The sequence below is a fragment of the Homo sapiens genome, chromosome Y, assembly GCF_000001405.40.
Source record: "Homo sapiens chromosome Y, GRCh38.p14 Primary Assembly".
In the NCBI taxonomy this organism is placed as follows: domain Eukaryota; kingdom Metazoa; phylum Chordata; class Mammalia; order Primates; family Hominidae; genus Homo; species Homo sapiens.
In genome coordinates, this window is record NC_000024.10 from 17322376 (window position 1) to 17349838 (window position 27463).

The following is a 27463-nucleotide window of genomic DNA, read 5'->3' on the forward strand; positions in this document are numbered from 1 at the left end:
GTGAATCCGTCGGGTCCTGGACTCTTTTTGGTTGGTAAGCTATCGATTATTGCCACAATTTCAGAGCCTGTTGTTGGTGTGTTCAGAGATTCAACTTCTTCCTGGTTTAGTCTTGGGAGGATGTATGTGTCGAGGAATTTATCCATTTCTTCTAGATTTTCTACTTTATTTGCGTAAAGGTGTTTGTTTCTTCACAGAATTGGAAAAAAATACTTTAAAGTTCATATGAAACCAAAAAACAGCCCTCATCACCAAGTCAATCCTAAGCCAAAAGAACAAAGCTGGAGGCATCACACTACCTGACTTCAAACTATACTAAAAGTCTACAGTAACCAAAACAGAATGGTATTGGTACCAAAACAGAGATATAGATCAATGGAACAGAACGGAGCCCTTAGAAATCATGCCGCTTATCTACAACTATCTGATCTTAGACAAACCTGAGAAAAACAAGCAATGGGGAAAGGATTCCCTATTTAATAAATGGTGCTGGGAAAACTGGCTAGCCATATGTGGAAAGCTGAAACTGGATCCCTTCCTTACACCTTATACAAAAATTAATTCAAGATGGATTAAAGACTTAAACGTTAGACCTAAAACCATAAAAATCCTACAAGAAAACCTAGGCATTATCATTCAGGACATAGGCATGGGCAAAGACTTCATGTCTAAAACACCAAAAGCAATGGCAACAAAAGCGAAAATTGACTAATGGGATCTAATTAAACTAAAGAGCTTCTGCACAGCAAAAGAAACTACCATCAGAGTGAACAGGCAACCTACAAAATGGGAGAAAATTTTTGCAGCCTACTCATCTGACAAAGGGCTAATATCCAGAATCTACAATGAACTCAAACAAATTTACAAGAAAAAAACAAACAACCCCATCAGAAAGTGGGTGAAGGACATGAACAGACACTTCTCAAAAGAAGACATTTATACAGCCAAAAAACACATGAAAAAATGCTCATCATCACTGGCCATCAGAGAAATGCAAATCAAAACCACAATGAGATACCATCTCACACCAGTTAGAGTGGCAATCATTAAAAAGTCAGGAAACAACACTTGCTGGAGAAGATGTGGAGAAATAGGAACTCTTTTACCCTGTTGGTGGGACTGTAAACTAGTTAAACCATTGTGGAAGTCAGTGCGGCGATTCCTCAGGGATCTAGAACTAGAAATACCATTTGACCCAGCCATCCCATTACTGGGTATATACCCAAAGGACTATAAATCATGCTGCTATAAAGACACATGCACACGTATGTTTATTGCGGCACTATTCACAATAGCAAAGACTTGGAACCAACCCAAATGTCCAACAATGATAGACTGGATTAAGAAAATGTGGCAAATATACACCATGGAATACTATGCAGCCATAAAAAGTGATGAGTTCACGTCCTTTGTAGGGAGATGGATGAAATTGGAAATCATCATTCTCAGTAAACTATGGCAAGAACAAAAAACCAAACACTGCATATTCTCACTCATAGGTGGGAATTGAACAATGAGAACATATGGACAGAGGAAGGGGAACATCACACTCTGGAGACTGTTGTGGGGTGGGGGAGTGGGGAGGGATAGCTTTAGGAGATATACCTGCTGCTAAATGATGAGTTAATGGGTGCAGCATACCAGCATTGCACATGTATACATATGTAACTAACCTGTACATTTTGCACATGTGTCCTAAAACTTAAAGTATAATAATAATAAAAGAAAAAATCATATATATGGTTGTTGTGATTACCCTACAAAAGTAAGATTGACTGCCACACTGAATTTGGTTTGGTTGTTGAAGCTGATAATTTTACACACACGCACACACACGTACACACACATACACACACCAAGGAGATATGAAAAATTTGTTGCTTGAACAATGAGGCTTTCTGGTAAGGGAAAAACATCTCAAGGATATGAAAATAGGTGACACTTCAAGGAAAGACTGACTTGGGGCTTTTAATGTGATAAGGGGCTGGAGTTGGTATGCTTCTGGCTACCACCCAAGGAGGGAAGACCCAAGCTTGTGTACCTGATTACCCTGATGTGAGGCAGAAGAGAAAAGGGAGTGGCTGAAGCTCAGATGCTATCTGCAGTCAAATATCAGAAAAAGGGAGTGCAGGCTAGATGTGGTGGCTCACACCTATAATCCCAGAACTTTGGGGGGCCAAGGCAGGAGGATTGCTTAAGACCATGACTTTGAGACCAGCCTGGGCAATTTAGCAAGAGCTCTCTCTCTCTACAAATACTAAAAATAATTTAAAAATATATATTACTTGGGCACGGTGGTGCATGCCTGCAGTCCCAGCTACTCCAAAGGCTGCAGGAGAAGAATATTTTGAGCCCTGGAGGTCAAGGCTGCAAGAATCTATGATCACAGCACTTTTCTGAATCCTGGACAAGTGAGAAAAGAAAGAAAGAAAGAAAGAAAGAAAGAAAGAAAGAAAGAAAGAAAGAAAGAAAGAAAGAAAGAAAGAGAGAGAGAGAGAGAGAGAGAGAGAGAAAGAAAGAAAGAAAGAAAGAAAGAAAGAAAGAAAGAAAGAAAGAAAAAAGAGAGGGAGGGAGAGAGTATGAGGAAGGGAGGGAGGGAGTATGAGGAAGGGAGGGAGGGAGCAAGGAAGGAAGGAGAAAGGAGGGAGGAAAGGAAGGAGGGAGGGAGGAGGGAAGGAAGGAAGAAAGGGAGGAAGGGAGGAAGGAAGGAAAAGAAGAAGGAAGAAAGAAAAGAAAAAGGACAGAAAGAAAATGAGGTAGAAAGAAAGAAGGAAAGAAAGGAAGAAAGAAAGGGTGTGAGGGCGGGAGGGAGGAAGGAAGAAAAGAAGGAGAGAGGAGGGAGGCAGGAAAGAAAGGAGGGAGGGAGGAGGGAAGGAAGGAAGGAAAGAAAGAAAGAAGGGAGGGAAAGAGAGAGGAAGAAAGAAAGAAGAAAGAGAGGGAGGGAGGGAAGGAAGGAAAGAAGGAAGGAAGGGAAGGAAGGAAGGGAGAGAGAGAAAGAAAAAGAAGAAACTAAGAAAGAAAGAAATGAGGAAAGAAAGAAGGAGAGAGGAAGAGAGGGGAGGGAAGAAGGGAGGAGGGAAGGAAGGAAGGAGTAAGAGAGGAGAGAGGGTAGGAAGAAGGGAAGAAGGAGGGAAGGGAGGGAGGGAGGAGGGAGAGAATAGAGGGAGAGGGAGGGAGGGAGGCAGGGAGGGAGGGAGGAAGGAAGGGAAGGAAGGAAAGAAAGACAGAAAGAAATAGAAAGAAAGTGAGAAAGAAAAAAGAGAGAGAGAAAGAAAGAACAAAAGAAAGAAAGAAAGTGAGAGAGAGGGAGGGAGGGAGAAAGGGAGGGAAAGAGAGAAAGAGGAGAAAGAGAGAGGGAGAGAGAGGGAGGGAGGGAAGGAAGGAAGTAAAAGAAGAAAAGAGAAAGAAAGAAAAGAAAAAAGAGGGAAAGAAAGAAAGATGAAAGAAAGAATGAAAGAGAAACAAAGAAGGGAAGAAAGAGATTGTGAGGAAGGGAGAGAGGGAGGGAGGGAGCAAGGAAGGAGAGAGGAGGGAGGAAAGGAAGGAGGGAGGGAGGAGGGAAGGAAGGAAGACAGAGAGGGAGGAAAAGAAGAAGGGAGAAAGAAAGAAAAGAATAAAGAAGGAAAGAAAATGAGAAAGAAAGAAAAAGAAAGAAAGTAAGTGAGGGAGGGAAGAAGGAAGGAGAGAGGAGGGAGGGAGGAAAGGAAGGAGAGAGGGAAGAAGGAGAGAGGGAGGGAGGAGGGAAGGAAGGGAGGGAGGGAAAGAGAGGAAGAAGGAAAGAAAGAAAGAAAAAAGAAGAGAGAATGAAGGAAGGGAGGAAAAGAGAGAGAGAAAGTAAAACAAGAAAGTGAGAGAGAAAGAAAGAAGGAAATAAAGAAAGAGAAAGAAAGGAAGAAAGAGAGAGAGCGAGGGAGGGAGGGAGGAGGGAAGTAAGGAAGGAGAGAAGAGGGAGGGAAGGAAGGAGGGAGGAATGAGGGAAGGAAGGGAGGGAAGGAGGGAGGGATGGAGGGAGGGAGAAGGAGAGAGAACAGAGGGAGGGGGAAGGGAGGGAGGCGGGGGGGAGGAAGGAAGGAAGGGAAGGAAGAAAAGAAAGAGAGAAAAAGAGAGAAAGAAAGAGAAAAAAGAAAAAGAAGAAAGAAAAAGAATGAGAAAGGGAAAAGAAAGAAGAAAGACAAAGACATAGAGAAAGAGAAGAAAGAAAGAAAGAAAGAAAGAAAGAAAGAAAGAAAGAAAGAAAGAAAGAAAGAAAGACAAAAAAGAGGAAGGAAGAAAGGAAGAAAGAAGAAGGAAGGAAGAGGGAAAGAAGGAAGAGGGAAGGAAGGAAGGAGAGAAGGAAGGAAGGAAGGGAGGGAGGGAGGGAGGGAGGGGAGGGAGAAAGTGGATTCCAACCCTTTATTGCAGCCATGTACACAGATGCATGAAACCGTGCTAACTGGATGTTCAGAAGCCATCAGGTGAACTGAACACCATATAGGTAGAACACATAGCCACCACAGACAAAGGAAAAAACATTCTGAAAGGAGCTGAGAAGTGAGATGAAGAACCCAAGATAATATCCCTGAAGGTTTCACCAAATCAGAAACCGTCTCCCTCTGTTGGTGTATTACATGAGATAAATAAAAATTGCCTTTATTACTGAAGTTAGTCATTGAGTAATCTCTACTTGCATCAAATGACATCCTAGGTTTTTCACTATCATTTTTTCACCTTGTCTTTTTTTCAAGCTTTCTTGATTTCAACATAAAGAGTGACCCATAGTGATGGACCCATAGCGATGTCAGCTTAGTTCATCTCTCCTTGCATTTCCCTGCTTGAAGGATGGCCCCTTGTAACAAGAATTGCAATTAAAATGTTTTGCTTGTGCAAACCGTTTTCTGCAATTTATTTTTATTTTTATTTATTTTGCTCTTTCAAGCTCAGAAGAGTGTGCCTGACATCCTCCAGGTAATATTTCACTTCCCAATGCCTATTTAACAACACAGTGAGTTATAAAAAGCAGACAAATTGAGAAAAAAAGAGAGAATTATGCAAGTAAGAGAAAGATATCAACCCATCTGGAGGTAAGATAACCTTGTTTTGGTTTTGTGTGTTGAAGAGTCAAAGTTAACGAGTAGATGTTTTCGGGACCCACACACACTGGATATTTACATCAAGTACATCACAAGTTTTTTTTGTTTGTTTTATTTTGTTTTTTTTGTTGTTGTTGTTGTTGTTTTTTTCAGACGGAGTCTCCCTCTGTTGCCCAGGCTGGAGTGCAGGGGCGCGATCTTGGCTCATTGCCAACTCCGCCTCCCAGGTTCACGCCGTTCTCCTGTCTCAGCCTCCCAGGCAGTGAGTAGTAGGTACTACAGGTGCCCGCCACCATGCCCGGCTAATTTTTTGTATTTTTAGTAGAGACGGGGTTTCACCGTGTTATCCAGGATGGTCTCAATATCCTGACCTGTGATCCGCCCGCCTCAGCCTCCCAAAGTGCTGGGATTACAGGCGTGAGCCACCGCGCCCGGTCCACAAGATTTATCTCAATATTTCAATTATATAATCTGTGATTTTAGTTAAGATATCAGTAAAGAATAATTATATCATATGTTTTCATGATAAAAATGTCATGATTATTTTGCGAGACACATTGTGCAAACTCATTACTAAGGAAATGACAGTTAAAAATAGGAATGGTAACTAATGGAAAAAGTAAAAGTCACAACTTACTACCATTGATGTTACAGATCCATATAGCTTGTAGTCAGCTTAGTGGATAGACTGCATACGTAACATTTACGTGGTAAGTAAAACTGCTCCCTCAAGTGTGTGTCCTCTTACATCCAACTCTGCATTATGGAAACAGGGAAAGTCTCATGCGAAAACAAGCCAAACCTTTTACAGTTCTGCAATGCACGGACCTGCTGCATAATGCATAACATTTATATTTAACACCTATGTTAAATAGGTGGCTCATCTGTGGCTACATGGAAAAATGGAGTGTTTATTAATTTGTAGACAGGAGACACTTCCAACAACACACAGCTGGAGGCATTGAGTTTTTAAGGCAGCTTCCTTAATACAGCTGTTCTCTGGCTCTTGGCAGTTTAGAGACTGGCCTGCCAATTCATCTTTAGCTGACCACAAATACTGCACATTTTTCAAAGCACTGGAGAGAATGGGTGGTTGATCAACCTAGCAGAAACATAAATTGCAGCTTGAATTAAAGCATTATTAGTAGATAACGGTGATAGGCAGAGGTAGGATGGTTGGTTATTATTTGTCCCCCAGAAGCACATTTGAGTGCATCATAGTTCCTTGCTATGGTGGGCAGTGAAATCCCAATTTGATGTCCTGCAAGAACAGTACTCTGTCAGCGGGTGGTTAGACCACTGAGTGCAGAATCCACATTTGCATTTGCCTTTTGACTGTGTGCGGAAGAAAAACAACTAAAGGCACACTTTGGTCAGTGAGTTTTATTTTCCAATTCCTTAATTCTATTCAGTTATTATAATCATTTTGAACTTTTTTTCAATAAAATAAATTCATGGAGCTGAAAGGCTGCATGATGTTATCAGGAAACAGAATATTTCTTTGGTATCCTGGATGATTAAATGTGAATTTATTTGTTATAATCTTCCTGAAGATTTAATCTGTCTCTAGTCATCTTATAGCAAAGTGCCAGAGAGAATCAGAGCTCTCTTCTAAAGAGAAAAATGAAAAAGGTTACAGACACTACCCCTGTAGCAACCTGTCAGAACAGGAGCATTTCTTGACTTTCAGATATTGTTCTTTTCCTTTCTTGTTTATTTATCCTGCATACCCATGAGAAAGAGCATTAAGATAGGAAGAAAACTCTGCCTGGAGTTTTCCATCTGACTGGTTTCTTCATTTCTTTCATTTTTTGATTATACAGCCATAATATTAGCCCTGATACAGTTTGTGCAAATAATAAATGAGACATGCTTTATTCTTGCATGTATAAATAAGTGAATGAAATTGGCCAACATAGGCTACAAGAATATTCCTGTCCTCCTCTGGACACCACTCCCCAAATTAATCTTGGTTAATATTGTTTTAATTAGAATTTTATCCCACAACTTCCTTCTGATTAAATCCATTCTTCCTTCTGATTAAATCCATTTCTAGTAAAATAAGTGACAATGTAAACTTGGTAAAATATCATTTATAGTTATAAAAATAAAATGAAACATCCCTAAATGCAAGATAAGGAAAAGGGCATATCTTAATACATCTATGTATTTGTGATATTCAGACTGTTCCTTCACTATTTGTTGCTTCAGTCCATGCATGCTCACAATGCTATGAAAGTTTGGTAAGGAATTCTTGTAAAGTGACAACCCAAATTCATAGGGCATTTTTTATTATATAACAACAAATACAAGAACCTAGAGAGCAGGTGTTAGTGCTTGGTTTTTGGGGCTGGATCTCCTTTGAGCATGTCCATCATGGACACCAAGTCATAGTCAAGAAATAGGTGGTGAAAATACAGGAAGAGCAAGTCAGATAGATGAGTTTTGAAACTTATATCTTGGTAATCAATGCTGACCTATTTATCTTTCTTGTTGCTGAACCAGCAGATTAGGCTTCCTTCTCACTAAAAATCCACTTTCCCAAATTAAATGTCACATTTAGTGTGAGGTTCTATATGATGGGTTTATCATGTTATCTCTGGAATTAAATATGAGAGTTGCAATACACCTGGTGTCATGTAAGTATTTAATGAACAAAGTAAGTATTCGGTGAACAAAGAAATTTGTTTCACCTGCAGGGTGACTTCTCAGAGGGAAGAATCATGGGGGCTTTATGCACCAAGCTAAGAGGATTGTTCCCGATTCTACAGCAACAAGGAGAATACAGGGCATACTACAAATATACAGAGTCCTGTTTTAGCAGCATTGCTCTAAGACCTTATGAAAGAGAAAAAAAGAAGTATTTGCACAGTCAAGGCAGGAGAATCTAGGGTCCCTATGAGTGAAGATGAACTGAAAAGAGGGGTGAGAAATATGAAAGAGAGAGAATTCATGGGACCTGAGTGTGAGTCAAGGAGTGGCCATCCCACTGATGTAATTGGATGGTGGTGTCATTGCTATTGGTAAACCTGAAGAGGACAGAAGTAAATTTAAGTATAGTACATTTTGGTGTGAACACAAGCCAGTCTAGCTCCAACTAGACATGGCTAGAAGATATTTACAAAATGTTTTTGCATTCAGGAGAGACATAGAGACAGCAGGGAAGAAGTCTGCATATAGGTAAAGGCATGTGTGTATGCATGCAAAGAGGGACTGAATGTAATCTTTTAAACTAGGAAATCTCTAAGCTAATTACATTAAATCACACATGTACACCATCCTTAGCAATGTTTTTCCAATGCTTAAACAAGGGCTGATATGTACCTAGTGAAACCATGGACAAAATTTTGTAAAAGATATCTCTATGTGATCTCTTTAAACCTTGGTGTTGCATTTTGAAATTTAATGTATGCAGTGAAGAGCTACAAATAACATATGCTTTTTGACTTTGCAAAATAGAAAATGGAACTGATACCTGGAGGTTTCATTCTAATTCTGTTGTTTTTTTCCAGGACAGCATCAGAAGGTTTCTATCAAGGGGCAAGAAAGAAGTCATTTCACATTTCTCAAAACCCATTATTTAGGGATTAGTCAATGATCTTGTTTGCAGGGTGAGAATTTGGGAGATTGTTACAGGATATTGCTCAATCAAGACAACAAGTAATATAACCCATTGTCATTCTGAATTCATACATTTCTTGAGGAGGAAATAACATGTGAAGTGGAAAGATATATTTTCATCAATTCATTTTTCCTATGAGTATATAACCTGCTAGACAGTTTGTACCCTTATCTCACTTCATCTTTTGCACAAATCTATTAAATGAATGGAAGTACACAGCTATTCAGCAAATTACTCCCAGGTGCAAAGATACAGTATGTGAAGAAATCATCATAGGCAGCCTGATACCTTACTCACAAATCCACTGATATTTTGCATCAGATGATTTTTTTTGTGGTGGGGACTGCCCTTTGCATTGTAGGATGATTTGCAGCATTTCTGGCCTCCACACTCTAGATGCCAGTAGCAGTACCTCTGCCAACTTAAAGATGTGACAATTGGCTTGGCATGGTGGCTCACATGTGTAATCTTAGCACTTTGGGAGGCCCACATGGGTGAATAATTTTGCAGCCAGCCAAAAGCCCATGGGATGTGTGACTTCAGCATTCCACCAGAGGCTATATGATCAAACAGCAAACTGTTTATCATGAATGCATGATGTGGGCAAACTCATACTGCCCTGCCAACAAAAGGTTTGCTGAGGGACATCACTCCCCAGCCCTGGGCTCCTTGAAGTTATCTACTGAGAAAATTAGAGCCTATTGTTCAAAGGATGCAGTTCAAGCCTGCTGTGAACCATACAGCTGACTGACAATTACCCGACAATCACCCCCCTCCTTCTTGCTGTCTCTTTCACCTGATAGACACAGATGCCTGTTTAAACCTCAGCGCCCTTGTCCATTAGAAGCAAGGTTCCCCTGACCCCTCCTTCCAAATATACTCTTTTGTCTCTTGTCTTTTGTTCCCAAGTTTTCACCCTTTTTGTTCAGTTCCCCTAGGTCCCTGTGGGTTTTACAAGTTGTGCTCGAAGAGGTGACAGTCCAAACATGGGAGTTCCAGGACATGAACAAAGAACATCTGCTCCAGCAAAGGAATTGAAATTGACAAGGCAAACGGGGACCCCAGGATGAGTTTGCCAGTGGCAGATATAAGGTCAGTGCCTTAAAGAGGTACTGAGAGCAGTGCTTTAAAGAAGTACTGGGAACGGAAAGTTTTCTGAATCATGGTAACAAGAGAAGAATTTCTCTATTGAAGAAAAACATTATGTGCAGTTTCTTAAAGTTCTGTTGAGACAGTCTGGAGCTCAGGTTCATTCTCAGGCACTAAGTAACCTTCTGCAGAAGCTACAAAATGTTATTATGCATAACCCATGGTTTCCACAGGCAGGCACTCTTGATGTGAGAAATTGTGATACAGCAGGAGGAGGATCAAAATAGGCTTATCAAAAAGGTCTTAAAGTTGATTCTTCTGTTTTCTCCACTTGGAGTTTAGTTTGTGCTGTACTTCTGCCATTATCTCCTTGTTATTCTCTGCAGCAGCAGGCTGAATCTCAAACTCTGAAAGAAACTGTTTTCCTTCCCATAGCTCCAATTGAAAATAAAAAACAGGAGAGGGAGGATAAAAATTGGTCTATACTGCCTCCTCCAATTGCCAAAACATCTGTACTGCCTCCTTCCATAGCAGAAACAGAAACCCCAATACAGAGAATTTTACCCTTTGCTGCCATAGCGGGAGAGCCCTTAGGACCTTGTACTTTTCCTATTTCCATAAGGCCTGATCCAAATAATTGACAGTAGTTTATTCATGAACACACCCCACTAGAATTATGTTGTTGAAGGAATTAAAAACTAGTGTGGTCAATAATACAGTACAAAGCCCATGGTTCCTGGAGGAAGGAATGTTAGATGTGGAACTTGGGGAACAAGTGGGGAGAAATCTTAAACAACATCAGGTATGAAGGCATCAGGTCCCAGTAAAATCTTTAATGTTATGGGCTTTAATTAGAGCAGCCTCAGCTCAGTTACACACAGAAGAGCCTAAAAAGAAGAAAGAGGAGAAAACATCACCTGCCTTATCACCTCCTCTTCCCTCAGCCCCAATATCAACCGGCCAAAATAGCAAAGAGGAAACAGAGGTCTTACCTAATCCTCCACTTCCAATAGATAGGAAAGAAGACAGAGAATATGCTACAGCTATCTGTTCATGTCTTAAGCAGGCAGTGCTAGAAGGAGAGCTCTTAACCTGCTCAGTAATGCAAAATCAACAAGGCAATCAGGTGTATATTTCTAAAAGATAAGAAAAAAGGCATTGAAACTGTGTGGCTCAGAAAAGGCACAGTGGCAAGAAAGCTAGCAGCGACCATGGCCGCAAGGTTTGCCCAGGCCAGCAGCATGCCCCAGCAAAGGAGGGAGGGAGCAGCACAGGCAGGCAAAGCTTCTAAAAGTACAATGTGGCCACTGCCCAGGACCTGCACCACTACCCTGTGGGTCTGCTGGAAGCCCATAGCAAAATTTCATGGTTACATCCCAGGCTATGATTCTCTGCTAAGATTTCAGTAAAAAGTAGGAATTTGAAGAACTTCTTTTCTAATAATGGCCACTATTGTTATCTCTCTCCTATCCCTGATGTAGCTTTCCAAATACAATTTAAGTAAAACAGTAACCTCTGAAGGAAGAGAGATTGCAGAGGGCCCATGAATTAAGAGTAATTAAAAGCCAGGCATGTAAAAAAACACATTACCCTTTAAAAGAGAACTTTAAACCTAATTAAATGATATTTTTTAAATTAGAAGGTAAAAATGTCGTGTTCTTCTCAGAAAGTGAAGAAAACCTGTATGTAAGTGTAGTGAAAACATATGCATGAATGACTGTCTTAACCCATTGATTACAGAGAGTCTTTAATTTGCACTTGCTAAAAGAGTCCTAAATTGAGTTCCCCGGTTAGTGAGTCACTGTTTTCTAGACTGTCAGAATCAAGTTCACAAACTTGATCAGTCTGAAAACTCAATTACAAAATTTAAGCTATTTTGCCTGTGGCTTTAAGCACATGGTTAAAGTATATTATTTGAGTCTCTGCTTCTAGAGATGCTTTCAGGTTATCTTTTTAAACTTCTTGTTACTTATTTCAACTTGCCATCTTAGTGATTAATACAGTCAATTGCTAAGTTATGACCCTGATATCATCAGGATTCCTTTAAGTAAAAGGCAATTTGAAGAGTTATTGCACTTACCCATACCTAATGCTTCTGTTGTAACCAAGCGAGTTATAGAGAAATGCCACACTTTGAGACTAATCCAGGAGTCCTTTATTAGCTGACAATGGAGAGATGGCTAATGCTTGAAATTCTCTCAGTCTTGAAGAAGGAGCTAGATTTTCTTTTATACTTTGGTTTAGAGAGGGGATTGCTTCAGCAATCTTACAGGCAAAAAAGTTGAAAAGACAAATGTTTACAGGAAAACAAACACCTCCAGGTGTGGGGGCTTCAAATTCTTCACAAGGTGATAGGTGTGGGGGCTCTGGGTGTTATATGCCAGACATAAGTGCAGGGACTTAAGAGTACTATCACCTGAGCGAATTCCTGGGAACTATGTACATAGCTTGCCACCCTACCTTATCAATTAATTGCACTCTTTTATGAGCTGAGAGTCTGCTTGCACAAATTAAGTCCTTGAGGAAGGGGGTGGGTAAGAAGCCATTAATGTCTTGCATATGAAGGAGCTGAAAGAGAGAGCCAGTCAAGTTAATACAAGTTAGTATATCACATTTTAACACTATTTATTGATGGATCTGGTGAATATGGAAAAGCAGCAATCTAGTACAGACCACATAATTCAATCACTCGATCTGAGTTTACTAGAACTCAGAGAGCTAAGGTTACTCTGTTTATTTATTAAATAACCTTTACAACCTTAAGCTCTCTCTCAACTTTCCAGCCTTATGTTGCAAAAATAGCCATCAATTTATGGGGTTGAGACTTACTTACAGCACAGGGTATGAGACTTACAAATGAAAACTTTGATAACTCAGGATTTAAAATGTTGAAGAATATGGGATATCAGGGTGAAAAATGTTTGGGGAGATTTCTACAGTGAAATCCTAACCTGATATCAGTAACTGGAAAATCAGATAGAAAAGGGCTAGGACATCAGGATTTATGGCAGGGGTCATTAATATTTCTCCTCCGCCCACTGCCTCACTATTAGAATGTCTTAGTGACAAACCTATATGGGTGGATGAATGGCCCCTAACACAGGAAAAGCTAGATAAACTTTATCTGTTGGTAAATGAGCAATTGAATGCTATAGAAAAGTCCGTTAGCCCCTGGAATTCTCCAGTGTTCGTTATCCCAAAAAGGTCTGAAAGTAATAATGACTGCAGGAGTTTCAGCTCAACACTTAGAGCTAATTGCAATCATTCAGGTTTTACAGCTCACAGCTTCAGATCCTATCAACATTGTCTGTGATTCAGCTTATGTTGTAAATGTAGCCAGTCACATAGAAACTGCTACAGTTAAAAGTACACTAGACCTGCCAGGCATGGTGGCTCATGCCTGTAATCCCAGCACTTTGGGAGGCCGAGGCAGGTGGATCATGAGGTCAAGAGATCAAGACTACCGTGGCCAATATGGAGAAACCCCGTCTCTACTAAAAATACAAAAATTAGCTGGGTGCCGTGGTGGACACCTGTGGTCCCAGCTACTCAGGAGACTGAGGCAGAATAATCACTTGAACTCAGGAGGCAGAGGTTGCAGTGAGCCGAGATTGCACCACTGCACTCCAGCCTTGGGACAGAGAGAGACTCCATCTCAGAAAAAAAAAATAAAGAAAAAAATAAAAGAAAAAAGTACACCAGACCCAGAATTGCTTAATTTGTTTAACTTATTCTCATATGCTTTATGCTACATGCCAAAGAGTTGAGATAGCTGGTCATGTACAGTGACATTGTCTGTCATCATTTGCTCATTTGGGAATATTTAAACAATTAAAAATTGACAATGGACCTGCTTATACTAGTCATACCTTTCAAAATTTCTTACAGCTTTGGGCTATAACACATAAAACAGGAACTCCTTATAATCCTAGCGGATAAGGCATTAAAGAATGGGCACATCAAACACTACAACGCATGTTGAAAAGACAAAAAAAGGGGGTATAGGAGGCCAGCTACCACCTCAATCAAAACTACATTTAGCCTTGTGTACTTTAAATTTTTTGACTCCTGGTAAGAATGGTGAGACTCCAGCAGAAAGACATTGGCAACTGTTAGGAGAAAAGAGAAAAGTTGGTCTGAAAGTGTCATGGAAATCCCCAGAAGAAGGACAATGGAAAGATACAGTGGATTCTCTGATGTGGGGAAGAGGGTACGCTTGTGTGTTTACAGGAGATGGACAAACCACGTGGGTACCCTCAAGATGTGTGCAACCACAGAACAGGAGATGGAGGAACCCAGGGTGGCCAACCATGGGCCCAGTCATTCCAGTAAGAGCCATGATCCAGCTGGGCCTGAGTGCATAGATGGAGAGAAGGCTGACCAGAGTCAAGACACAGTTCTAATGCTATGTTTTCTGTAAAAGTGGATGGACCACCAGTCAGATAATGAGGGCTGCCCAGCCTGGCCTTACATTCTTTCAATTAATACATAAACAAAAAGGGGGATATGCAGGGAGCTGAAGGCTGATGGGATGTGACAAATTCAGCATTCTGCTAGAGGCTATATAATCAAACAGCAAACTATTTATCATGAATGCAGGATGTGGGCAAATCCACACTGCCCTGCCAACAAAAGGTTTGCTGAGGGACATCACTCCCTGGTGCAGCTCCTTGAAGTTATCTACTGAGAAAATCAGTGCCTATTGTTCAAAGGATGAAGCTCAAGCCTTCTGTGAACCAAACGGCTGACTTACAACTACCTGACAATCACCCCCCAACTTCCTCACTATCTATTTTTCCTAATAAATACAGAGGGCTGTGTAAAGCTCAGAGCCCTTGTCCAATAGAGGTAAGGTGACCCCTGACCCCTTCTTCCAAATAAACTCCTTTGTCTCTTGTCTCTTATTACCATGTTCACCCTCTCTTTGTTCAGTCCACAAGGGTCCATGCATGTTTCATCATTTGAGGTGGGTTCTTTTTTTTTTTTTGAGATGAAGTCTCACTCTGTTGCCCAGGCCGGAGTTCAGTGGCACAATCTCGGTTCACTGTAAGCTCCATCTCCCAGGTTCATGCTATTCTCCTGCCTCAGCCTCCTGAGTAGCTGGGCCTACAGGCACCTGCCACCACAACCAGCTAATTTTTTGTATTTTTAGTAGAGATGGGGTTTCACTGTGTTGAGGTCAGGAGTTCTAAATCAGTATGGCCATCATGGTGAAACCCCATCTCTACTAAAAATATAAAAAATAGATGGGTGCAGTGGTGGGATCCTGTAATCCAAGCTACTCAGGAGGCTGAAGCAGGAGAATTGCTTGAGCCTGGGAGGTGAGGTTGCAGTAAGCAGAGATTGCTGAACTGTACTCCAGCTTGAGTGACAGAGTGAGACTCCATCTCAGGAAAAAAAAAAAAAAAAAAAAAAAGATGTGACAATTGGCATGTCTCCATGCAGTGCCAGGTGTCACTGGGGGTCAGCAGGGCTGAAGGGGCATGCAAAATACCCCAGGTTGACAATCATTGCATTGGTTATTCAAGTAGACTAAAAACTAATACAGTAGTTACAAAGTATCCTATCAAGGGGGGAAATATTGTCATCCCTGGGGAATTTCTTGGTGTCATGAATTATCTGGCTGCACCTCAGACATACAGTATTAGAATCTCTGGGACAGTGCCCAGTGATCTGTGTTTTTCAAGCCCTCTAGACACTTCTGATATTCTCTCAAGTTCAAGACCAATTGTGTTAGAATCATGTGCTATATAGCACTCCACACTAGTATTTTCAAGGGAGGAGAGAAGGTGGGAAGAAAAGCAAAAAGAAAATGAGCAAGGCACCAGGGCCTAAACCTGTAATCCCAGCAGTTTGGGGGCCAAAACAAGAAAACCGCTTGAGGCTAAGCATTTGAAACCAGCCTGGGCAACATAGCAAGACCCTTTCTTTTAAAACAAACAAGAATTAGCCAGGTGTGATGATGCATATCTGTAGTCCCAGCTACTAGGGTGGTTGAGGCAGGAGGATTTCTTGAGCTGAGGAGTTGGAGGCTGCAGTGAGCTGTGATCATGTCAGGCACTCAAGCCTGGGTGACCAAAGCAGGACCCTGTCTCTAAAACATGAAAGGGAGGGAGAGAGGGAGGGAGAGAGAGAAAGAGAGAAGAGTATAGGAAAAGAAAGAACAGAAGAAGGAAAGTCAAATCAGTCCTTACAAATCCCCAGAGATTGTTTCAGTTACCTGTAGGGAATAGGTATTAGGTGAGATGAAGATGAAAATACAGTCTCCAGATTATAACTCAGTGTGTTTTGTGCTATTTATCTATAAAGTGCAGCTCTGAGTTGCATGACTTGAGAGAAGAAAAGAGATCTGGCTTACATTTTAGTTGTCTTTGATTAAAACAATTAAGAATGCTCTGAGTCATCTGGTTTTTCAAGCCAGTACTCACTGGCTAGAAAAGTATGTGCAATTTAATCTGTTGCATAGCTCTTCCTAAGATACATGACTAGACTATTGTTGAATGCAAAAAATAAATTTCTAAATTTATCGACCATGAATTAGGAATTAAGTTTTCCTGGTGGAAGTGTGTATGAGATTCACTTTGCTGCTACAAAAAGTTACTGCAAACCTAGTGGCTTAAGAAAAAACACACATTGATTCTTTCATCGTTCTGGAGGTTAGAAGTCTGAAATCAGTCTTAAGCAGCTAAATTCAAGGAGTTGGCATGGCTGGTTCTTTATGAAGTTTCCAAGGAGAATCTATTCCTTGGCTTTTCTAAATTCTGGAGTCTACCTTGACTCATGGCCATTTCTCCTGTCTTCTTTGACATTCTTGTCTATGTCTCATAAGGATCCATGTGATAATAGTAAGACCGTTTGGATAATAGAAGATGATCTCTCATCTTGACGCACTTAACTTCATGAGATCTGCGAAGGTTTTTGTCATGTAGGCTAACATACTGAGCTACCAGAAGTCAAGAAGTGGATGTCTTTGAGGAAAAAGTGATCCAATCTATTACAGAAAGTCAGATTCATCCCTTTCCTAGAAGCCACTACGAATTCAAGTACAGCACCTGCAGTTTCCTCTGGAGGTCACTGTTGATCCAAGCTGATGGTGAGGCATTTTGTTCCTAAGTCATGGTGCATTTCTACCGCATCTTTCAGGAAATCCAGACAGGCCATCCTTTGGAATAAGTACATCATGCTGTATTTCTGGCCACCACAGTCACAAATAAAAGAGAGACAGGGGCAAGGAAGAAGAAAGGAAGGAGTTGCTTGCTTTGTGATCATAGCAGCATGTTAGTGATGCATTTCAAGTTTGTGACAATGATTATAATCAAAGGTATAGATGTGAGAGCCTCCACCCTAATCATAGTTAGGTTATTTACTATCCCAGGCAAAGTGCCATAATCTCCTTGGGCTTTCATTTCCTCACAAGTAAGATGGGGATAAGAGTCACTTGAGGATGTCATTGTTGTGATTTAATGAACTAATGAAAGGAAAATCTTTAACAAGGTGTCTGTAACCTTGTAAGCAGTCAAGAAATGAATACCATTTTTTGTTTTTTGTAGGGATTTAAATGCCACCAACTCAAGCTGTCATATCTTTGCTGTTTATTATTCACAATTTATTATTAGAACATTGCTTTCAAGTGCCTTCGAAGTAGTAGGTCTTTGCAATAAAAATAGTAGCAAGCCTCAGTGACTGATCTCAACAGGTAAGTTCCTGATAAAAAAAGATCAGAGTAGATTTAATTAGGAAACATTCATGCACCAGTCATATTCCATGGGCTTGTAATTGAACTGGAAGTAAAGGAAAATATGTAAACTGTCTTCCTGCATCGATTGCATGTCTCCAACAGCCAAGCTCACGAAGGATTTTCTTCTGGGAATTACATTTGCAGTAAGGAGATCTGGAGCTCATACTGTGCAAAAGTATGCACCCAGCCTCCATTTCATCCTACAGACCGCACCTACTTCAGGGACAACATTTTACACACCCTAGGTGGAGAGGGAATTACTTTAAAATAAAACTTACATGCTTCCATTAATAAAGCAATGTAACTTCACATAAAAAATCTGTAAAATTGCCATTACAGAGAAGAAAACAGATTTTTTCAGCATTTCTTTACTAAATCAACAAGATGTATTAGTTTACACATTTTATTATATTTATCTTTAGCAATGTTTATCTCATAATTTGCATAATGCAGAGGATACAAGCCCTCTATGAAGAAAGACATAAAGAGGAACTTAATGATGGTAAAATTTCCCAGTAGTCGTTTTATTTTTTGTCTTCCTGGTCTACTTTTCCAATTATGGAGGTCATTTTTGTAATTTAAATTATCCAATGAAAAAAGTATGACTCCACTTTCTTATGAATGGTGAGGCTTTCCTCATTTTAAGAAATATGGATTAAGCACCTACAAGCACCCAGACTGTTTCAGATGTCAAGGACAAGAATAAGCAGCTTACTCATCAGTTTCAAAGGGAAATTGCAATACTCTCCAATTTCAGTATTCAGTCCTTTACTTGGCTTCCTTAATAAATGATGATATATTGTTTCTAATATAAGCTCCTTTAAAGACTCGTTACTATTTCTGCAGGAAAAAAGCAAAACAAACAAATAAACAAAACAATGGACAATAAAATCTCTTTTAATGCTTTTTTATTTTTATAATTTATCTTTATATTAAGGGAGAAAGAGAATTTCAATTTGTTTATTTGTTTTAGTCATTACTGCCTTATATATCTGAAAGGTGTAAGGTTAGCTGAAAGAAAGGACAAGAGAGAGAGGGACCCAAGGTGAGGCAATTAAGTTTATTAACCTGCTGGGCTGCTCCACCATAGTTAGAGATAGCCCTGAGCTTACAAAATGAGGGATTTATATGGGAGAGGGAGACCCTGGGGTTGTTTGTCAGTTAACTTTACCACATATCATCTCATGATCAGATTATAGTGTATTATGTTGTGTAAATAATATTTACAAGAGGGTGTAACTTAGATTTACCCACATTTCTCATGACCTCCCCTGTGCTGCCTGGAAGGCTGTAATAGCAAGCCTGGTGACCTTGCTGTGGTGCCTAGATAAGGGTTCAGGAATGCAGCAGTAGAGAATTCAGGGTAAGGGTCAGCTGCATTCTTGGGGGTGGGAGGTTCCTGAGGCAGTTTCTCCCTAACATTCCAGCCTTTTAATAGATAATAGTCTTCTATTAAGGTCACCCAAATGGCCAAATTTAAATGGCTTGTCCATTTTTCAGGATGCCCAAAGGTCATCACCAGCTCTTTAGTAACCAAACATTCAGGATTTTGTAATGGCAGACATATGAGTCTTATGACCATTCAATGGGGTGCCATTGTCATCTGGATGCTTCTTTCTGGATAGGGGTGACAGTTGTTGGGAGAGGCTGGGTGGTAGGGACTGCCAGCCCAGGAGTTAAAGAACCACTGGAGTGAGGAGTCCAAAAGGTGCTGCATGATTTCAGTAGCCTTTTCATTTAACCACTGGGCCGCATCTCATACTAGTCCTGACTTGTTAGTATAGAAACAGCAATCTTCTAAAGAGATGCACAGTCCGCCTTTTTCAGCAGTGAGGAGATCTAAACCTTGATGGTTTTGAAGTGTCACTGCTGCTAAAGAGTCTATTTGGGATTGGAGAGTAAGGATTGATTTAGCTATGTCTTACAGGCTGTCTGAGAGATCTTTTGAGAGAGCCTGATAGTAGTACAAGGAAGTGGACAAGGCTGCTATCCCTGTTCTTGTTGCAGTGGTAATTCCTAGTACTACAAGCAGGGGTATTAGCTGTATGGCTCTGCATTTATGGTCTTGAGCTTTAATAGGGACTGGTAAACCCTGGTTTCCTGGGAAAATGTCAATTTTGGGGCTTAAGGAGACCAGGGTGGAGGTGCCAGTCCATTTGGGGGCAGACATAGGTTGAAGTTCCACACAAGAAAAATACACCCTGGCTGGGCAGAGAGAACTGGTTGTGTATATTGAAAAGGTGTGTGAGTTTATTGTTTTTATTTTCCCACACACATAGAATGCTGGCTAAGGTGGCTCCAGTAAGTGGCTGAAAAGGAGTTTTAGGGGTCATTTGAGTGGCTCCTTGTGTTTTATTCTCCCATTGGAGAAATAATCATTTTGTGTCTACTAGAGTTATTCAGAGGAGTAATTGCAAGAGAGTATACTTAGGCATTTGGCAAGGAGAAGAGACAGGCTACAAGGGGTCTATGGGTGAATGGTCATACAGCTCATATGTCTGCCATTACAAAATCCTGAATGTTTGGTTACTAAAGAGCTGGTGATGACATTTGGGGGTCCTGAAAAATGGACAAGCCATTTAAATTTGGCTGTTTGGGTGACCTTAAAATGTTGGTGGTACTTTGAGGCCTGAAGCTCTAAGGTATAGTTACATTGATGGGATACTAGATGACCTAAAGGCAGACCTGAGGACAGGTTGTGTTGAATACACACGAGTCTTGAAAAGTTAGACCGGTGTTGGTGGACATAGGGCCGTGAATGGGCTGTTATTACTTGTATATTAGATAAGATTGGAGATATAGGAGTATAAAAGTTGTACTTTGTGCCCTGTCAGAGTGTTTTTTTGTCATGTCTATGACAGAAAATTTGGCTAGTGACTGCATGTCTAAAATTTGGAATGGGTTTTTCCTTCATAACGGGGGTGATAAGTTAATTTAGTAAAAACCCAGTTTTTTGAGGGAACGGGGTTGGCAACATAGGTGGTAGTTGATAGGGAAATGTAGAGCTAGCAGTCTTTTTGTAGGATGGGGTTGGACTGGTTTAGTAGGGAGTGAGTTAAGGGTCTTACAGAGGTAGTTGTGTACTATTGGAAGGGTAGGTGTGGCTATGTGGGGCAGCTAAAGGAGTAGGAGAGGTAGATAGACAGAGTGAGTGGAAAAGTAAATAAGTGCATTTCATCTGGGGAAAAGTCGCATAGGGGGCTTGGAAGATACCGTCATCTATCCACTCTAAAAGATAGTTGAGAATGGGAGTTTGGGGATGAAACCAGGAGATGTCTTGGCAAACAGAGGTGAGGAAGAGGGTGAAGTGGCAAGGTAGGCAGGAACAGGGCATTTGAGAGAAATTGGGAAAGTACTTGTGATTGTCAGGAAGAGAAGGAAGAGTCTGGGTATTGTTCAGAGGTCTTCTTCAGGATGGACGTGAGACGGAGTTTGGATGGGCTAAGGAGAGTACTGAAGAATGGATGGAGGATGGCAGTGAGTGGGTCAGTGGGTGCTTCGGGGGCTCTTTTTAATCTGGAAAGATGGTACCAAGCAATATGACCTGAAAGTTTAGCTGCAGTGGGGGTAGTGAGAAGAACTTGAAAAGGGCCTTCCCACTTTGGTTCAAGGATTGTTGGTTTAAGAGCTTTTAGGAAGACATGCTCTTCTGGAATGAGGGTTTGGTTCGTGGGGCCTTCATCAGGTTTTGGGATGGCCTGGTTATCTTGTTCGTGGAGGAGATGACAGATGAAGGAGAGTGTTGAGAGGTGTTCTCCTAGCTGAGAGTTAGAAGAGTGCCTGTTTTGTAAGAGGAAAGGGTGTCCATACATTATCTCATATGGACTGAGGAAGGAGGGTGTTTTGGACTGGCTCTGATGTGAACCAGTGCTATGGGCAAAAGGCAGGTCTATGCTTTTTGGACCTCAAGAGGGGGTTTGGTTAACTAAGCCTTAAGAATCCCGTTTGCCCTTTTGACTTTTCTGAGTGACTGGGGTCGATATGGGATATGGAGGCGCCACTGGATGCTGAGGGACTAAGAAACCTGTTGGGTGATTTGGGAGATGAAGCTAGGGCCATTGTCTGATTGTGTGGAGCTAGGAAGGTCAAATCTAGGGACGATTTCCATCATAACAATTTGGGAGACTTCTGCAGCCTTTTCTGAAGAGGTAGGAAATGATTCTACCCACCTAGAGAAGGTGTCTATAAGAGTAAGAAGAAATTTTGTCCTCTTGATGGGAGGCATGTGGGTGAAGTCTACATCCCACTCCTTCCCTGGGAGAGTTCCCCTGAGGTGATGTGTAGGGATAGGGGAAGAGTGGAGGGCCCCTTGGGAGAAAATAACAGAGCATAGACAACAGTTTGAGGTTATAGATCTTAGTGAGATGAATAGATGTGTGGAGGAAAAATAAGGGTGAAGGAGTAGGTACAGGGGGCACACACTGATATGGAAGGATTGGTGAAGAGATGTCAGAATTTCTTTAGTTTGCTCTTGGGGGAGGATGAGCTTTTGATTTTTCACTATCTAGTCTCCTTGAAAGGAGGCTCCTTTCTGTAGTAGTGAAGCTTTCTCGGTAGGAGAGTACTTGGATTGGATTGCTGGGGTAATGAGGAGGAGAGGGGCAGGGACAGAAGAAAGGGAGGCTTCTTTTGTTTCCTCATCAGCCTGTCTCTTCCCTCTTCAGATTTCCTCTGATCCTGTTTGATGTCCTCAACAGTGCATAACTCCTGCTTTAGCTGGGAAGTGTGCAGCCTGAAGGAGTTTGTAAATAAAAGGGCCATTAGTGATGGGGGTTCCTTTGGCAGTAAGGAATTCTCTCTCTTGCCAGTTGGCAGCGTGGGAATGAAGAATGTGATAGGCATATTTAGAGTCTGTATAAATGTTGACTTATTTGCCTTTGGAAAGTGGTAGAACCCAGGTGGGAGCTATGAGTTCTGCTCTTTGAGAGGAGGTTCTCGGCAGTAGAGGCTTGGCTTAAGTTTACTCAGTCAAGGGAAAGAACTACATATCCAGCAATTCTAGGGGAGCTGGTGGGCCCAGAAGAGGAGCCATCTATGAATAGTTGATCATCAGATTTGGTGAGAGGCTCCAAGGAAATGTTTGGAAAATTTGTGTCTAGGTGGTCCAGGATGTCAGTTCAAGAGTAAGGAGAAGAAGAGAATACAGGGAGTAAGATGCTGGGTTGAAGGGAGCACTTTTCCCAAGACTAAATTCGGGATTTTTGATAAAGAGGGCATGGAGTAATTTGGGAAGGTGGAAGGGAGCTTAATGCTCAGGAAGAGAAGAGGTCTTGTAGATTATGAGAACTTTGGGCAGCAGTATTCTGGCTGAAGTTTAGTTTCCTGCTTTCTAGAGCTAAAACAGCTGCTGCTGTTAGTGCTTTAAGGTAGGTTGGCCACTCTTTGACTGTGTTATCTAGTTGTTTAAAGAGATAAGCTACAGGGGAGAAAGAAAGAGGATTTCCTTTCTGTTTTTGTAAGACACTGAGGGCTATTCTTCAGCTTTCAGCAGTATAGAGAGTGAAAGGCTGGGAGATATCAGTAAAGACAGAATTGGCACAAAGAGAAGAGCAGTTTGGAGTTTGTGGAAGCTGGGGAGTATGTTATGTGAGGGGTTTAGGGGTTCATTGAGAGGGCCTTTGACCACTTCATAGAGTGGGTGAGCTATGAGAGCAAAGTTGGGAATCCATACTCTAAAAAAGACTGATAGCCCTAAGAAGGGAAGGATTTTGCTTTTGGAGGAAGGTGGGGCTAGAATATCAGTGTTGCTTGGGCTGGATCATAGCCCAGGTCCCAGGGGAAAGTTGAATTCCTAAATAGGTCAGCAGGGAGGTGGAGAGTAGTGTGCAGTTTTGAAAGGATGTCTCTGCTAGGAGCGGAGTTGGACATGAGAGCAGGACTAAGAAAAGTGAGTAAAGGAAAACATGTGCAGGGAGCAGAAGAGTGGAGGGGTGGCTCAGGGTTTGGAGACTTATCCATCAATTCCTACAACAGAGACCTGGGAGGACTTAGTGTGTCCTGGAAAATTAGGTAAAGCAAAGTAGGTTGTCCCAGTAATACTTTTTTAAAAAACATACTGGCCTACCTGCCACCATCAGAGTTACCCTCAGCTCAGACAAAGAGAAGGTAGTTGCCAGGGCATCAATTCCAGGGCACCATCAGTCCTCAGTGGCAAGGCCAATAAGATCTGAATAGGAGGTTTTGGCTGGCTCAGGAAGGGATGGAGCAGTCCTTTCAGGGTTCATTCACCATCTGACTTCCAGTGGGGTCTTCCACAGAGTGAGGCATGGCTTGGTGAGCTCACCTGGGTTTGGGCATTGTCTAGATTAGTGGCCTTCACTGACACACGTGAAGCAGGCACTAGGTAGAGGTGAATTACTAGGAGGCTTTCATGTGGAGCTGAAGCCCCATGGGCCTGCAGGGCCTCTGATAGAGGACTTGAAACTGCCTGTTTTTGCCTTTTACTTTCCTCATCATGATTCTTAAAGACTTTGAAGGCTAAATTAAGAAGGTCTCATTGTGGTGTTTGAGGGCCATCGTCAAGCTTCTGAAGCTTGCGCCAATTTTGGGGGGTGGTTTGGGAGTTAAACTGAAGGTTTAAAATAGTGGTTCCTTCTCAGGAGGCAAGGTGGCCATGAGTAGATTTTTAGAAAGCCTCTGTAAGGCAGGGAAGAAATTGGGCAGGGTTTTTATCTGCTTTCTGGGAGATTTCTTTGAGTTTTTCAAAGTTTACAGCTTTATGAACAGCTTTGTTAAGACCTGCAATGAGGCGAGTAACCCTATATGATTACGGAATGCTAGCCTGGGGTCTGTGGGTTGGTACTTCCAGGAAGACTTTTCCTGGGGAAATGCAGCGCCTCCTACGGTTGTAGTAGGATCCTGTCATTGAAGGCAACTGGCATGTGCCTGAGCTGCAAGCCAAACTTTTTCTTCTCTTCCGGGAGGAGGGTAGAAGACAGAATAATATAGAGATCATGCCAAGTAAGTTCATAAGATTGGGTGAGATATTTAAATTATTTGATGTAAGTATCGGGATCAGAGGAGAAGAACTTGAGACATTTTACCAAAATAAGTCCTGTTGCAGGAAATAAGTGAGTTTCACAGCTTTCTGAGCCCCTACTCGACCCAGGAAGCCCAGATGATACCTCCTTTCATTTTGGTGCCTTAATATTATCAAGGCTTGCACAATGAGTCTTGACATGCATGTGTTCTGGAGTAACTAGAAATTCTAGTTACTTAGAGTTGGGTAAAAGAAGCTTGGTACCCTCTACCAGTTAAGACCACTTTTTGCTTGTTGTGGCCCTTGATGACAGACACAGGCACCCTGCTCCAAAGCCTGGGGCTTTACAGGTTACCTAGGATGGCCCTGGAAGCTTCTGGGATGGGAGAGGCCTCCTTGGGCTATTCCTAGTGTGTCTGGAATTTGTTCCTTCTGTTGGATTCTTGGTCTTGCTGACTTCAAGAAGGAAGCCACAGACCCTCACAGTGAGTGTTACAGTTCTTAAAGATGGTGTGCACAGAGTTTTTTCCTTCAGATGTTCAGATGTGTCCAGAGTTTCTTCCTTCCAGTGGGTTCGTGGTCTTACTCGACTTCAGGAGTGAAGCCGCAGACTTTCACACTGAGTGTTACAACTCTTAAAGGTGGCACGTCCAGAGTTGTTTGTTCCTCTTGTTGGGTTCGTGGTCTCGTTGACTTCAGGAGTGAAGCCACAGACCTTCACAGTGAGTGTTACAGCTCATAAAGATAGTGCAGACCCAAAGAGTGAGCAGCAACAAGATTTATTGTGAAGAGCAAAAGAACAAAGCTTCCGCAACATGGAAGGGGACACGAGTTGGTTCCTGCTGCTAGCTCAAGTGGCTCCACACACATCCTGCTGATTGGTCCATTTTATAAAGAGTTGATTGGTCTGTTTTACAGAGTGCTGATTGGTCTGCTTTACAGAGGGCTGATTGGTCCATTCTTATGGAGTGCTGATTAGTGTGCTTATAAACTTTTAACTGACACAGATCACTGATTGGTGCATTTACAATCCTTTAGTTAGAAAAGTTCTCCAATACCTTACCTGATTAGCTAGACACAGAGCACTTATTGGTGCATTTAAAAACATTTAGCTACACACAGAGTGCTGATTGGTGCATTTAAAATCCTTGAGCTAGACAGAAAAGTTCTCCAAGTCCCCACCCCACCCAGAAGCCCAACCGGCTTCACCTCTCAATACCCCCTCTAAATAGGACACTCCAACTGATGTTGGGAATTAGGCTGATGACTGCTCTAGCTAATTCCTGCTGGACAGGAGCAAAGAAGGGGCCCTGAAGTTGTAGGGTCCTCCACAGGGGAACTCTTTAGGCCAGTGAAAGGGCCAGTGGGTCAATCCAGGGGTCCTCAGTAGCAGTTGTTAGTTGAGCTCATTTAGGATTCCATTTGCAAGACCATCTGTAGCTTGATGGCCTTGATTCTAGAGGAAACAAATTTGACAAGGAGGTTAAAAATACAGGGCCCAAAGGTGAGTAATAGCAAGATGGCTGCCACAGGACCTAGAAAGGGGAGAATCCATGTTGCCCAACTCCAGATGTTGATATAAGAGTTTGAAAGGTGTCTGACTTCAGAGGCCTTTTCCTGTAAACATGGGGCAGCATCTCATACTATCCCTGACTGGTTAATGTAAAAACAGCAATCTTCCCCAAAGAAGGTGAGAGTCCTCCTTTCTCAACAGTGAGGAGGTCTAGGCATCAGTGGCTTTGGAGAGTCACTGCTGCCAAAGAGTCTATTTGGGATTGTAGAGTAGCGATAGATTTTGTTATTTCTTACAACTATCTAAGAAATCCTTTGAGAGTGTGTGATAGTGGATAATGAAGTAGATAAACTGGCTATTCCAGTTCCTGTAGCAGTAGCCATTCTTAACCCTATAAGTAGGAGTATTAGTTGTATGACTCTGTGCTGATGGACTTGAGCTTTGAGGAGTACTGATAAGGTCTGATGTCCTGGGGCAATGTTAATGTTGGGACTTAGAAAGACTAAAATGCAGATGCCGGTCCAGTTAGTGGGGAGACAGATATAGGTCAACAGATATAGTGGGGAAACAGATATATTCCATGTAAGAATATACCTTGGCTGGGTAGACACAACTGGTTGTGTGTGTTAAAAAGGTGTGTGAGTTTGTTGTTTTCATTTTCCCATACTCCTAGAGTACTTGCCAAGGTAGCTCTGGTGAGTGGCTACAAAGGGTGTTGGGAGCAAACTGAGTGGCTCCCTGTGCTCTATTTTATTTTTATCCTGGCAGGAGCTACCGTATGTAGTCCTATGACAAAAATTATGGTTAGTATGCTGTTCAATAATATGACATAATAGTAAAAGGATTCCATTAAAGGGGCAAGGAGAGGTGTTAAAGATAATGCATATGTAGGTTTTCATTTATCTTTTTTAAGGAGGAAGGGTTTTTCTTCAGGATCGGTGGTAGAAGCCTTTTTAGTCTGGGATATTTCCTTCTGAAATAGGAGACGCAAGTCCTCCAATGGTTAGCAAGTCCTCCAAAGGTTTATCAAGGCTGCCCTGGCTAATCTGGGGACTCATGAGCTGATAGACCCACAGGTGCCTCAGGGTATGTTTCCCATTCTACTAGATGAGTATTTGCTCTCTGAATCTCCTTGGTTAGAGTATATAGGGGCTGGTCTATCTTGCTGTATCTGGGGATCCATAGTTAGCCAAAGCTGGTGATTCTAAGGAACTGCCACAACGGTTTTAATGTCTTAGAGTGAGGATAAGCCAGTATAGGCTTTATTCATTCCTTACTGAGGGCTCTGATCCCTCTGGTCAAGATTAGGCCTAGATATTTGAACTGCTGTAAGCAAATCTGGGCCTTCCACATAGACACTTTTTACCCTTGGTCAGCTGGAAAGTTCAAGAGATCTAGAGTAGCCTGCTGGCATGAGGCTTAGGAACTGGTAGTCAAAAGTGAATCATCCACA